The sequence below is a fragment of the Homo sapiens genome, chromosome 10 (assembly GCF_000001405.40).
Source record: "Homo sapiens chromosome 10, GRCh38.p14 Primary Assembly".
In the NCBI taxonomy this organism is placed as follows: domain Eukaryota; kingdom Metazoa; phylum Chordata; class Mammalia; order Primates; family Hominidae; genus Homo; species Homo sapiens.
In genome coordinates, this window is record NC_000010.11 from 94235110 (window position 1) to 94250408 (window position 15299).

Consider the following 15299-nt stretch of genomic DNA (forward strand, 5'->3'; position numbering starts at 1 on the left):
ACATGCCTTCTCCATGGAGTGGGAAGACTCTCCTCAACCTTCAGCCTCTTCTTTGTCACCTGGGAGCAAAGGCATCACCTGATATCAGAAAGACTTAAGAGCTCCTGACAGGTACAGGCAACACCACCGGCATCTCTCTGGGTTATGAGCTAGGATAAAAGGGCAAGAAATGGAGGAGAAAGCTTAAAGGAAGACTCCCGGGCCACACCCCCTAGCTTCCTCATGTCTTAAGAAGAGGGAACTCCACATCTCTTATCCCAGACACAGCTCTCACCTCTGATGAGAGAAGCTTCCTAATCAACTGTATGAACAATAAGGCTTAAAGAGCTTAAAAACCAGGAAGAAGCCACTGTGTTATTATAGAACACATGAGCAATAAAGCAAAACATCACCTCTTCTCAGTGTTTTGCTTGGGCCCAGTCATTTTTTCTGGTTCCATAGAATAGCATACTTTACTCATGGTTTTTCTCAGTTCTCACTATAAGGATAAAATAACCATGCTCTTCCTCTGCAAATTGGCTAATCTTCTCCTTAGGGAGCCCTGAAATAATATTTTTTTTGTTTTAAATTTGAAGTGGAGTGTCGATTCCCAGAGGGATTAAAGTTGTCTCAGTGGAAACAAGGGTGAGTTTTGATATTTCATGTGGTGAAATGAAAAAATGTTTTTCCTGGAGGCTCTTGTTTTCTTTCCCATAAAATAGGCACAAATGCCATTATTTATTACTTTATGATTTCATTTCCCTAGCCAAGTATGTTATCCAGGCATATTAAGTTGCAATAGCAAATTCTCGATTTTTTTTTGTAGTTTGTAGCAGATTACAGTGGACAAGATAATTTCTTACAACGAGTGGGACAAAATGGCTTAAAGAATTCGGAGAAGGAGTCCACTGTCAACAGCATCTTTCAGGTCATCCGGAGCTGCAATCGAAGTCTGGAGACAGACGAGGAGGACAGCCCCAGTGAAGGAAACAGCTCCAGGAAAAGCTCCTTGAAGGATAAAAGCCGATGGCAGTAAGTTTTACACGTTAAAAGTGAGGAATGCTCATCTCTTCTTTTTTCCTGTTGATGAGTTGTTTCCTACTTCAGCTTAGTTTCAGATGGACACCTCATCAAAACCTGCCACTTTTATCATTAAGCCACACTTCTTTATCTTCAAACCTTACCAATTCCAAATTCACATTTACCTTTCTCATTTTGCTGCTTTGTTCTAAAATTACTGCTCATAATTTAACTTCTTACCATCTGTTACCCCTTTAAAAAAAAAACAAAAACCTAGAGCTATCCTGCCATTTCTAAGAATTCAACACATTAAATTTCAGAAGGAGAGCTGTGATCTTTTATTTCCTAGTTTTTGTAACAGTGGTTTTTTTAATTCTTGGGTGGGGTACTAGGGTGGGTATTAAGATATTTTTAAATCAAATCTACTGACTTAGTTAGGTCTGGGTGATACCTAGAAATCAGTATTTTTATCTCTGCCAACCTCTGGGTGATTCTAAGTCGAGGGTTAGTGATCTCACTTCGAGAAACACTGCTCTGTAAGGTGTGTTAAAATTAACCCTACACACACAAGGCATCTGCAGGTTTTTAAATTGCTCAGTAATTCCAGTTTCTCAGAGATTATTTCAAAGATTTTTCACTTAACAGGTTGCTAACATTAGTGGCAATCTATATATAGAGAGAAGACCATCTGCAAATAATCACCTCTGCACAGAAAGCCTCTCAGAGCCATTTAAGTTCTTAATCTCCCTCTCTCTCTCTCTCGGCATCTATGTATATATCTATTTCTTCCAACAAAAGATTTTGTAGATGCTTTTAAGAATAACTATGAATAATTGAGGATATTAAAGAAAAGAAAAATAAGAATATGAGAAAATAAAACATACAAAAATGTATACTATGTAGTCTATACAGTGACTAAATTTTGTTCTGAGATTCCTAGCAGTCAAAGGAAAGAGGAAATCACAATTCATTATAAGTTTCACAGTATTTGTAAGAAAAATTAAACAGATGTTTGGGAGAAGAATGCCTTCTCCTCATACTGGATCTGGCTGAAATTCCTTCCTTAAATCCTACTGTTAAGGCTAGGATACATCAGATAGGAATAGATAAAATAATGAATTTCATATGGCTCTTTTTAAAGAGCCTTCATCTTTAAAGATGAAGCTTTACAATGTGGCTTCATCTGGGGCTGTGTGTGTATGTCGTTTGACCTTTCTAAAACACCTTCAGGACTGCCACTTTTACTGAGTGTCAGACCCCTAGACTATCCTTTCCTTTCCCTCGAAGTTCCTTCAAGTGGTAACTTTCTTGCATCATTTTCACCCGTTATGAAATTTTTGTCTCTAATTTTCTCCACAGTCTCTTGTCTTTTTCCTAATCATTTTATCACGTACATCCTAAGAACATTTCTCTTCCACTGCCCATTTTCCAAGCCCTGCTGCAAGCACTCTTAGAAGAGGAGAAAAACACAAAAATGCAGATATTTCTTTTATAAAACCTGTGAAGTCATATTGAAATCCTCACTTTGAAACTTGTGTACCTAAGTGCCAGTGATAGCTTCTTTACCTCAAGTGACTGCTACTCTGAAAGGAACCTCAACACACAAGTTAGGTTGGTGGGGCTGTTTAATAGAATTCACCAAAACCAGATCAGTAAGCACTATTTCTGTGGCCATCTGCTGGGACTTGGGAATCCATTCCTGATTGAGAGCCCCATGTTTTGTCCAGTGCAGGGTTATGTGTGCCAAAGATGTGCAGATTGAAAAGCCCATAGGAACTATGCTTTGTTGATCTGGCTGAAACAGAGACTCTACAAACAGCAACCTCTAGCCCCTGTTCACTTGGCAACAACCAGCCCTGTGAAAACTACAGCAAAGAAAGAAGGGACAATCTCATGGTCCTTTGGTTTACCCCACCTACAGGGTGCTCTTATAATTCTTCCCAAACCTCACAGCTACTCCTGCCAGAAAACCACTAGAAACACTCATAGAAATCTCAAAAAGTGATTATAAAAAGTTCAAGATTTATTTTTGCTGGGCCCGGTGGCTTATGCCTGTAATCCCAGCCCTTTGGGAGGCCAAGGCAGGTAGATCACTTGAGTCCAGGAATTCAAGAGCAGCCTGGGCAACATGGTGAAACCTTGTCTCTACAACAACAACAAAAAACAAACTTCAAGATCTCAGCAGGAAGGGAATTGGGTTGAAAAAATCTTGAAATGTCAATGGGGTCTTCAAGTAGGCTTGTCTAACTTCTGTACAGATGAAGTTGTGCCTAGCGAGCTGAAGTCGCTTGTCTGACTAATAAACAGTAGAGCCGGGTCATGAGCCTGACCATGTGTTCAGTCACAGGGGAGGATCCTTTGTCCTAAAATGCTTAAGGCATTTCTTTTGATTGTAGAGAGACTAACCCTTAGCCTCTTTTTATGTCTAACTCCTGAAGATTAGGAACATCTGAATTCTGAAAGCATTCCAATTACATTTCATATGAATTATAATGCTCATTAATAATTACTTTTTTATTTACCAGCATAAAGAATAAATAAACTATGCGTTTGTATGTTTAAAAACATATAGAGGCATGGAGACCTAAGAGTAGCATGTGGCACCATTGTTGGGAAATAGAAATGAGGAGTATGAAGGTGTGTAGAGAAGAGTATAGAGTCATATAGGAGCTGCAAGTTCTTATTGTCATCATTTTCAATATTGTTGACCCTCTTTGGCATGCTGCACCTTAAGAAGGATTTGTACATTTGGAAAAATAAGATATAAGTAGATGATGCCAGAAACCTACAATGGAAGCTGCTTCAGCTGATTAAGAACTCAAACCTTCCAGTCACATTGCCTGGGACTGAATTTTGACACCACCTCTTACTATTTCTGTCACCTAGGTAGGTAGCTGAATCTTACTAAGCCTCAGTTTTGTCATCTGTAAACTGGAAATGACAATACTACTTGATAGGGTTTTTGTGAGGATTATAAATTAAGCAAATTGCACGGCATACTATAAGTGCCAATATAGATGGTGGCTATCGTGATTAATGTGTGTATCACACCCTTAAAATACCAAGCTGAAGTTCTGAGGGTGATATGGTTTGGCTGTGCCTCCAGCCAAACTCTCATCTTGATTTGTAATCCCTATAATCCCCACGTGTCAAGGGAGAGACCAGGTGGAGGTAATTGAATCACGGGGGCGGTTTCTCCCATGTGTTCTCACGATAGTGAGTTCTCATGAGATCTGATGGCTTTATAAGTGTGTGGTTGTTCCTCCTGCGTTCATTCTTTTTCCTGCCACCTTGTGAAGAGGATGCAGCAAGGCTTCACCTTCTGCTTCCCCTTCACCGTCCACCATGATTGTAAGTTTCCTGAGGCCTCCCCAGCCATGCTGAACTGTGAGTTAATTAAACCTCTTTCCTTTATAATTACCCAAACTCGGGCAGTTCTTTATAACAGTGTGAAAATGGACTAATACAGGAGGTTCCAGCACTTAAGTGTGGACACCCTTGGCAGTAATCACCATTTCAGAGGCAATCCTCAGTCATCCTCCTCTCCCTTACTGCAAAGAGGTATTTTCTGTGTCCTTCTACCTCAATAACCTCGTTAGAGACGCGCCTGGACGATAATCCAACCCCATAGGGATAGGAAAAAAAGAAAGCTAAGCATGAGAAAGTAGAATATCTGAGAAAAGATAATAGTTACCAGGATTAACCACACACACACACGTACGCATGTGGATGCCCCAAATCATAAAATGATAGGAAATCAGTTATTCTCCACAGGGAAGGATGCAGACAGGCCTCAACCTTATCAATGCCCAACACACAACATCCTTTATCTGCAACAGCTGCCTCAGCCCAGCCCAGACCTTCATACAGTCTCACTTTCTGGCTTTGCTGGGGATACCTGGGATCCTGTATTTCTCTCTTTCTGCTTCTTTGGCCAACACCTGAGACCCAACATGATTTGTAACAGAGACCATTTTCCCACTATCTGCACAACATTCACCTTAGGCTTTTTTCTCACTTAAATCTCAACTTGAAACTTGGACACCATTTTTACAGAGAAGCTCTATTTGTATGGATGTCTTTTGTTTTATGATACTAACTTAAACTCAAGCCAGACAACAATAACATTAGCAATATTTAAGATGCTAATGTTTATTGAGAGCCTATCTTTAAGCAAACACTGCTCTAAATTCTTTCCATATATTAAACTATTTAATCTTCACAACAGTTCCATTTTACTCTCATAGCTAGCAGGGCCAGGATTTAAATTCAGGCAGACTGGTTCCAAAACCCACAGACTACTCACATATAATAAGAGAATGCTTATAGTCAAGGAAGGTGCTAGGTTAATTAAAAGCAAGAATTTTCCAGAAGAGAGCATTAAAAACGCTAGATTTTATTAGAGAGAACAGCTGTGGCAAGTCCTTTGGAAAGGACATAGATTTACTTCTATCTTAAAAAATTAAATTTACGCTTGTTTGTCACGTGGTAATTCATGTTCAAGGGATTATGTTAAATTGGCAGGAAGCAAACGAACACTTACAAAGAAAATATTTAACCAGGTTAACAAATACCTGTTGATCACCCAATGTAAAATTTTCATCAGGGAACATTAGACAAGTATTTATCTGTCTACGGTTTCTAACTGAATGATACCATGGAAGCTCTTTAGGAACAGGATAAAAACCTTTCTTCTATTTTTACTCCTTGGTCCTCTCCTTAAGGCATACAACCTGAGTTTGACAAGATAGTTTCTTTGCTGGTAAACCACATCTTTGATCTTCGGTTAACATTATTTAGTTCCTAAATAAGTCTTAACATTCCACCTTATCCCTTCTTGTAAACCCACAGGAAATTATCTTCTAAGAGAATCAGGCACAAAATTGCATAACATTCACTATATCATGTAAGAGACAAAAGCTACTAGTTTCCTGCTTGAAATGAACTTATTTCATTACAAACAATTGTCAATTTTATTTTGAGCATTAGTCCCTGGAAGATTGCTTTTTAATGGAATTATTACCATCTGGCATTAGTTCTTTTTTGCATTCTAAAATAAAAACTGACGCCAAGAAAGACAGCGTCCCCTCTCTCCCAGCTTACATCATCTCTGAGCAGCAGAAACAGGCTCCAGAAAAGCCTTATAATTTTTCTTTCCAGACACTATTTTTTTATAATGCTTGTGGTATTTCACTGGAACATGCTTGACTTAACTCAGAACTTAAATGGAATATGGAAAACACCATTTATCTTGCTAAATTAAAATCAGAAGTTCTATGTACAAATTTACATGTTGTATTTTAATGGGTACTAACACTCACCAATTGAATCCTTTTTGCTCTTAAAACAACAAGAAGTAGGACATGGAGAATGTGGAAATGGTCCCAAAAGAAAGCCCCTTGGCCGGGCATGGTGGCTCCCCCCTGTAATCCCAGCACTTTGGGAGGCCGAGGCAGGTGGATCACAAGGTCAGGAGTTCAAGACCAGCCTGGCCAAGATGGTGAAACCCTGTCTCTACTAAAAATACAAAAATTAGCCGGGTGTGGTGGCGGGCACCTGTAATCCCAACTACTCAGGAGGCTGAGGCAGAATTGCCTGAACCTGGGAGGCGGAGGTTGCAGTGAGCTGAGATTGTGCCACTGCACTCCAGCCTGGGCAACAGAGCAAGACTCCATCTCCAGAAAAAAAAAAAAAAAAAAGCCCCTCTAGAGGAACAGCTGGGCTGGGCTGAGGTAGCCTAGAGAAGAGGAAGTGAGAAAGGAAAAGTGCAAAGAATTGGTCTTCCTATATTTAATGAGTGTACTTTACCAAGACAGGCGCTGTGCTAAGTGCTTTCCAACTGTTATCTTATTTGATCTTCACCATTATTCTATGAGATGAGCATTGTCTTTTTGCCATCTAATAGTGAGGCTCAGAGAGGTTGAGTGTTTTGATGAGGTCACACAGGAAACAGGTGGTGATGTTTAACATTAAACCCAGGATGACTGCAGCAGGCATGTATGAAGCCATTGTGTAAGAGGACATAAGTATTGGTTTTCCAGTGTTACCGAGAGCAATTTCAGAGGGATGGAGCTAAATAAGACACAAATGATTTTTTTCTTATTTCACTTTTTATTATGAAGTAACATTAGGAAAAGAGCATAAAATATCATGTAACCCCAGATCTTGTGTTTTTTTTGTTTTTGTTGTTTTATTTTTTATTTTTATTTTTTTGAGACAGAGTCTTGTTCTGTTGCCCAGGCTGGAATGCAGTGGCACAATGCCAGCTCACTGCTCACTACAAGCTCAGCCTCCCAAGTTCAAGCAATTCTTGTGACTCAGCGTCCCAGGTAGCTGGGACTACAGGTGCCTGCCACCACGCCCAGCTAATTTTTGTATTTTTAGTAGAGACGGGGTTTTACCATGTTCGCCAGGCTGGTCTTGAACTCCTGGCCTCAAGAGATTCACCTGTCTTGGTCTCCCATAGTGCTGGGATTACAGATGTGAGCCACTGCGCATGGCCCAGATCTTGGTTTCTAATACCATTCTTCAGTAAAGGGAGGCAAGGTTTCTCCTAGAGAGGCTGATTCGAGGACTGGGGCAGAAAATACACAAGGTGAGCCTGGAGCATGTTGTAGTAAGGAAGTTCTCAAAAGAAACACACAGTGATGGGAGCTGTGAAAGGAATACAAGAACCAACTGGAAGAGCTCCCAATAGCCACAGCAACAAAATAAATAAAGTAGTATCACATTATAAATCACCCAAAGTATTAAATTAATATTCATGAGCTCATACTGATACAAGTAAATGATATGTGTAAATGATAAATAAACAAATGGGGGAGAAGAGATCCATCTTTTGTGCAAAAGAATTCCCAATAACTTAGGCAGATTCTTCACCCTCAAGGAAGTGCAACATAACTCCCCACTCCTTAAGAGTGAGTTGGGCATGGTGACTTTTTCCCAAAGAGTAGAGTATGGAAATGAGTTAAAAATAATAATAGTAGTAACTGTACAGTGGCACATGACACACAGGTCCTCAGCCAGGTGATCAGTATCACCAGAGAGAAGTCATGTTGGTAGTAGGTGCCCTCAATATGATGTGATAAGAATGATACTTTACCTCTATGGTCTTCCCTCCCCAAACCCATAACCTGCATCTAGTTATGGAAAAAATATCAGCCAAGTCCTAACTGAGGGGCCTTCAAGAAAACACCTGAGCAGTACTCCTCCAAACTGTCAAGAGCACCTAAAACAAGGAGAGACCCTCATAGTCAAGAGGAGCCTAAAGAGACCTGACAAGTAAATGTAATGGGAGATCCTGGAAGAGAAAAGGGACATTAAAAACTAAGAAAATCTGAATAAAGTGTGGACCTTAATTAGTGATAATGTGTTAGGATTTGTTCATGAATTATGACACATATACCAGACTAATGTAAGATGTTAATAGGGAAATTTTTGTGTGAGGTACACTGTCTTTGGAATTTTCTATAAATCTAAAACTATCCTAAAATTAAAAGTTTATCGAAACAGTGTATTTGAATAATTATCAGGTGACTGAGCATAACTAGCATCCAGGGTTAGAACATTGCCAGCACCCCTAAACTTCTTATTTCCCTTCTGAATTATTACCAGCCTCCCCCTAGAGAAAACTACTATTATAAGTTTTACAATAACATCTTGTTTTTCTTTGTAGTTTTTCTACTAATATGCCTTCCTAAATAGTACAGTATAGTTTTTGCCTGGTTTTGAAATTGACATTTACAGAAATGTATGTATTTATGTATCACAAATACATACCATATGCATTCTTGTGTGTCTTGCTTAAAATTTGTGTTATTCCATGTAGTTAGCTATTGCTTATTCATTTTCATTGCTGTACAGAATTACATTGCATGAATACACCAAAATCTATGCATACATTTTATTGTTGCTGGACTTTTGGTTATTTCTGGTATGGGGCTCTGAAATGGATTTTCTCACCGTCAGATTTGTGAGACACTAAAATTCAATATTTGTGGTAGACTTTTTTTTTAAAGAATATCCACGTGTGGGGCAAGGATGTAGAACCTGCTGTTTGAAAGCAAGAATGGTAATCTTGTTCAGGGACCATAGTCTAAACTGAGGAGTATCAACAAGCCCCATGATACTGTCGTTGCCTCATCAAGAGGCAGTAGGTGGCCCAAGTGTCTCCTGAGCATGAGAGCCTTCCTTCCCAGAGACGCGTGGACCAGCCTATGTACCAGCTCCTTCACAATTTTACTCACCACTTTGCTGGTGATGTCTGTGGACCAAATAGCAGAAACCTTGATCTTACTAACAACTTCCTATGCTTTGAAAAGAATGAGACTCTTGGGCAGGTTCCTGCCAAGGTGGCCATGTAAGAAAGAAGCAATCGCTTGCCTTCACTGTTCTCTGATCCTCTTGGCTCAAATAATCCAGGTTCCTGACTCAGCGGAGGGAACGTGCTAAATTTTCTATGCAAACTAGCCTTTTCTGTGTATACCTACACACATGCACAGAGAGAGTAGAAATCTAAGGTTGAGTCCAGGAGAACTGTTATGCTTTTCTGGCCACCGTGACCATATTTCCCAAGGAGTGTCCTTTTTAAATGTCATTTATTTTTATTTTTTGAGACAGGGTCTTGCTCTATTGCCCAGGCTGGAGTTCAACGATGCCATCACAGCTCACTGCAGACTCTACCTCCCAGGCTCCAGCAATCCTCCCACCTCAGCCTCTTAAGTAGCTGGGACTATAGGCATGCCACCATACTCAGCTAATGTTTGTATTTTTTGTAGAGATGGGATCTCACCATGTTGCCCAGCCTGGTCTCAAACTTCTGGGCTCAAGCAGTCTGCCTACTTTCTTTCCAAGGAGTATCTTTGAACTAATTGTATTTTATTTTTAACAGTTTAACAGAGGTACTTCTCAAGCCAGCCTATTAAGTCCTTTTTTAACCTAAAAAGGTTAAAAAAACCTAAAAAGGACTAAAGTCCCAGTATATTCAGATCATGACTTGTGTTTATGATTTAATTGAAGGCAAACAAGCCTAACAATGAAAATCCCAGGTATAAAGTTAGACCAAAATCTCACCTTGGCTTGGCCTCCTCTGAGAGGGGTTACCTTGAACAAATTACTTTCCCTTTCTGAACCTCGGTTTCCTCATAGGTAGAAAAAGAATAATAAAACTTACCTTGCAAGTAGATTGGATTTAGTACAAAAAATGTACATAAAGTATTTAACACGGTTCCTGACACAAGAAGGAAAACTAATACATAATAAAGATTATTGTTGTTGAGAATAAAAATACAATAACTCATCTAGTAGTTGTTTTCTTATGCTTATGGTCAGATACCTTGCTAAAGATAAGAATACAGTTATAAAGAATATTAGAATACGGTTATAAAAAGTTACTCAAAATTTTTTTTTTGCTCTGTCGCCTAGGCTGGAGTGCAGTGGCACGATCGCAGCTCACTGCAAGCTCCGCCTCCCGGGTTCAAGCAATTCTCCTGCCTCAGCCTCTCAAGTAGCTGGGACTACAGGCATATGCCACCATGCCTGACTGATTTTTGTATTTTTAGTAGAGAGGGGGTTTCACCATGTTGGCCAGGCTGGTCTTGATCTACTGGACTCAAGTGGTCCACCCTCAGCCTCCCAAAGTGCTGGGATTACAGGCGTAAGCCACCACACCTGGCCTCGGTTATTAGAAGTTACTGTGTGCTATTTAGTATTTTGTATTTCCTATGCTAATTTGAATTCATAGTGCGATGAAAAATAAAGCCCAGTGTCAGTGAAAATGTCTTTGGGTTGTTCTCACTTGATTATAAGACAAACCAAATTGGTGTTTCTTTCCTTAAGGTTTATAATTGGAGATTTGTTGGATTCAGACAATGACATCTTTGAGCAATCCAAAGAATACGACTCTCATGGTTCAGAGGACTCACAGAAGGCCTTCGACCATGGGACGGAGCTCATCCCTTGGTACGTGCTGTCCATCCAAGCCGATGTGCACCAGTTCCTGCTGCAGGGGGCCACGGTCATCCACTACGACCAGGACACACACCTCTCTGCCCGCTGCTTCCTCCAGCTTCAGCCCGACAATAGCACCTTGACCTGGGTAAAGCCCACAACTGCCTCCCCAGCCAGCAGTAAAGCAAAACTTGGTGTACTTAATAACACAGCTGAGCCTGGAAAATTCCCACTACTGGGTAATGCTGGATTAAGTAGCCTGACGGAAGGGGTCTTGGATCTTTTTGCAGTGAAGGCTGTATACATGGGCCACCCTGGCATTGATATACACACTGTGTGTGTTCAGAACAAACTGGGTAGCATGTTCCTGTCAGAGACTGGTGTGACATTGCTCTATGGGCTTCAGACCACAGACAACAGATTATTGCACTTCGTGGCACCAAAGCACACAGCTAAAATGCTCTTCAGCGGATTATTGGAACTCACTAGAGCTGTGAGAAAGATGAGGAAATTCCCTGACCAAAGACAGCAGTGGCTGCGGAAACAGTACGTCAGCCTTTATCAGGTAAGGGGTGCAGCCATCCCTCTTTCCTCACTGGCATAATACTCAAGAGCACACACTGGGTGACCAGACCACCAGGTTCATGCTCCCAGCTCTGACAGTTACTACCTGTGGTGACCTTGGGCAGCTTTTACTTAACCTCTTGGTACCCCAATCCCCTTTTCTATAAAATGGAAATAATAACACCTGCTCACAGGGTGGCTGTGAGAATTAATTGAGGCTGTGGCTCACGCCTGTAATCCCAGCACTCTGGGAGGCCAAGATGGGTGGATCACCCAAGGTCAGGAGTTTGAGACCGGCCTGGCCAACATGGTGAAACCCCGTCTCTACTAAAAATACAAAAATTTGCTGGGCATGGTGGCACATGCCTGTAATCCCAGCTACTCAGTAGGCTGAGGCAGGAGAATCGCTGGAACCCAGGAGGCAGAGGTTGCAGTGAGCCAAGATCGTGCCACTGCATTCCAGCCTGGGCAACAGAGCAAGACTCTGTCTCAGGAAAAAAAAAAAAAAAAAAAGTTAATATGTGTAAAGCCACAGTATAATTCATAAGTATGAAGAATAGTATCTGCACTCATAGGTGGTCCTATTTGTATTTTGTATGAAATACATTTTACTTAGATTTTATAGTAACTGAAAATGCTTATGTTAACTGGTTTCTTTGCAGATGGGAGAACTATAATGACCCTGGTCGCGGTTTTTATTTTGTATTATATTTATATATTGTATTATACTACATAAAAATAGTCCCAGGATCATTGTAGTTCTCCCATCTGCAAAGAAACCAGTTAATATAAGCATTTTCACTTACTCAGGTTTCAATGGAAAGCATTGTTATCTGAATACTTTTATTATTAGTTAGTGACTAGCTGATTCACTGAAAACTGTCCCTATTGAAATTAAAATCCTGGTTCATTTCCTAACATGCTATGTGACTTTTGGAGAGTTCTTTAACTTACTGCATATTGCTGCCTAATTGTAGAGGTGAGGGGTTAATTTCTTTAAGGTTGAAAGAAATTTTTCCAAATGTGGGATAATTCTTATGTGGAGTTCTTCTTTATTAGGTTTGTAGTGGTGGCAGCCCTTAGTGGGCAGTTTTTCACAGTCAGCTGCTTACATTGAGTGAATTAGTCTTTCATTAACCCTACGTTATCAGGTACTCTAACACTATAGTTTAGCGTGGCAACAGGGCTGGGCTGAATGAGATAGAAGAGACACAGGCATAACCAGAGTAGCATCCCTTGGGGAAAAGAGGATACAGATTGCTTGGAAATCTTAAACTCCACAAGCAGGTGACACTTGAAGTGTCATTCTCAAATGAGTTGTGTCAAAGTATTCAGTTTTTCTTTGCTATGCTTTTCTATCTTCATGGCAAAAAGAAATATCTTTTGTATTGTCACAGAACAAATAGAACTACCACTTGAACTACTCAAATGCCTGATTTCATGTACTTGTCACAGTTCTAATACATTTCTGACAATTAAAAACATTTCTCGCCCCAGGAAGTTAGACAAGGCACATGTAATGCCCCTTCTTTCTTCTTTCCCTACACCCATGTCACGATTATGAGCAGAGACCATATCCTGAGTGACTAACTTGATTAATTGATTAATAAGCAGATAGGCCTATGTACACAATTATCCTAATGTTACACAGAACAAAGCCAGTTTTAGTTAACTCGTCTAAAATGGAAAACAAATACCTGACTGTGTGTGGCGGCTTATGCCTGTAATCACAGCACTTTGGGAGGCTGAGGCGGTAGATCACTTGAGGTCAGGAGTTCGAGACCAGCCTGGCCAACATGGCAAAATCCCGCCTCTACTAAAAATACAAAAAATTAGTCATGCACCTATAATCCCAGCTACTCATGAGGCTGAGGCAGGAGAATCGCTTGAGCCTGGGAGATGGAGGTTGCAGTGAGCCAAGATAATGCCACTGCACTCCAGCCTGGGTGACAGAGCAAGACTGTCTCAAAAAAACAAACAAACAAACAAAAAATACCCGCCTCCTGTGTACTCCACAGGGCACAGGGAGCTTTCAGTGTACTCAGCTGGAAAAAAAAAAAAAAGTCTTCAGGAGCTATTGTGAATGTCAGTTTTTAATTACAGCTATTCCTTGGCCTTCTAGAATCAGGAAAATTCATCAAATATGGACATAGACCAGTGTTTGAGCTCAATTACAATTCCTGTCACAAAGTCTATGTGGTTTAGTTGTTCCATTTGTCTGCTTCTCAAGCTTATAGCATAGGTAACTGAATTAATACATAAGAGGTACTTGGTTTCTCATTTACCCTGGCACTCTTCAGCTTTTACTGAAGGAGGCACCAGCTGAGACCACGAACGGCAGGTGAAGAGGTAAGAGTTGCTGCTAGAACAGAGACAGAAGTGACTTAGAGAAGACTCAGTCCTACCCAGCTGCAAACACAGCTCCACCCTCCCCCACCACCCCTGCACAGAACCAAGATGTTACAGTGTAGAGGCAAAACAGCTCATACTCAACCACTTCTGAAATATAGGTGATGTTATTCCTTGACACTGCTCTCTCTACATGAGCCATTTATGAAGTCAGGCAACGTGCCTTAGAAACAGACACTCAAGATTTCTTTCGAAAGAAAAAAGTTGGAAAGACCAATGGACTGATCATTTTCTCATCATATAAACCAGTTCCCAAACTGACTCAGGGATCACCAAAAAGATGCTAACTTAGTACTCAGAGAACAAAAGATCAAATCTTTTGTTAATGTTTAATAGCTGTATTGGTGATTTATAATACCTCTTAGAAAATTAAATTCTCTCAGATGCCCTAAAGTTAAAAAAAAAAACTATTTAAATTTACCTATAAGCTAAAGAAATTTGTGAAACAATGTTTGGGTTTTTCCAAACTTCTGTTAACAGCTCTATAAGAGGATTTTTTAATCCCTAGTTTGGGAAGTGCTTATATGGAAAATAATCATTCTGACATTAGAATTTCCTTATGTAGTAAATGTAAGTGAAGTTACTTTCAAATACTACAAGTATTTGAGTACTACTGATGGAAGTAGTAACAAGAGATAACACAGAAGACAAGAAGAAGTAATAACATTTGTAGAGAAGCCTAGAAAAATACAGGAAAATCCAAGAAAGTAAACTGCAGAGATGTTGATGTGGGGTGTGGAGGAAAGACCAATGTCTTGAGCTTTGGCCCAAGGTTATCATGGACAGAACTGATGGCCCATAATCCTGGGTATTTGGAAGGTGCTCTGGGAGGCTAAGAAAGTTAAATATGGAATTACCAGGTAAATATCTTTGGTTATAAGCAAAAAAGATTCTGGCTATCTTTACGTGGGGGAAAAAAAAAAGATTCATTCAAAGGATGTAGATTAGTTTAATGGTCTTCAAAATGTCACATGCAAAGATATGCCAAGAGGTAACAGTGCATGGATATTTTTTAAGGAATCTATTTTCTAATCTTCAACTTTCACATAAACTGTTTTCTCCACTGCACTCCAGCCTGGGCAAGAGTGCGAGACTCTGTCTCAAAAAAAAAAAAAAAAAAACTGTTTTCTAAAATTGAACATGTGCCTTCACTTACAGTAGTCCATCTCCCACATTAAAAAAAGAAGGTAGGCCAGGTGCGGTGGCTCAGAGCTGTAATCCCAGCACTTTGGGAGGCCGAAGTGGGTGGATCACTTGAGGCCAGGGGTTCGAGACCAGCCTGGCCAACATGGTGAAACTCCATCTCTACTAAAAATGCAAAAATTAGCTGGGTGTGGTGGTACGCACCTGTAATCCCAGACACCTGGGAATTGAGGCAG

General features: G+C 40.3%; 1 protein-coding gene across 32 annotated transcripts in view; it reads left to right on the plus strand.

Annotated features, from left to right (window-relative positions):
* The window catches only part of PLCE1 (phospholipase C epsilon 1), a 338893-nt gene that overhangs the window by 241179 nt on the left and 82415 nt on the right, over positions 1–15299 (plus strand). For all 32 annotated transcript variants that reach the window (XM_047425285.1, XM_047425289.1, XM_047425297.1 and 29 more), the window contains 2 exons: positions 806–1011; positions 10837–11512. In XM_047425285.1, coding sequence (XP_047281241.1) covers positions 806–1011; positions 10837–11512 — 882 coding nt within the window. The remainder of the gene's footprint in view (positions 1–805; positions 1012–10836; positions 11513–15299) is intronic.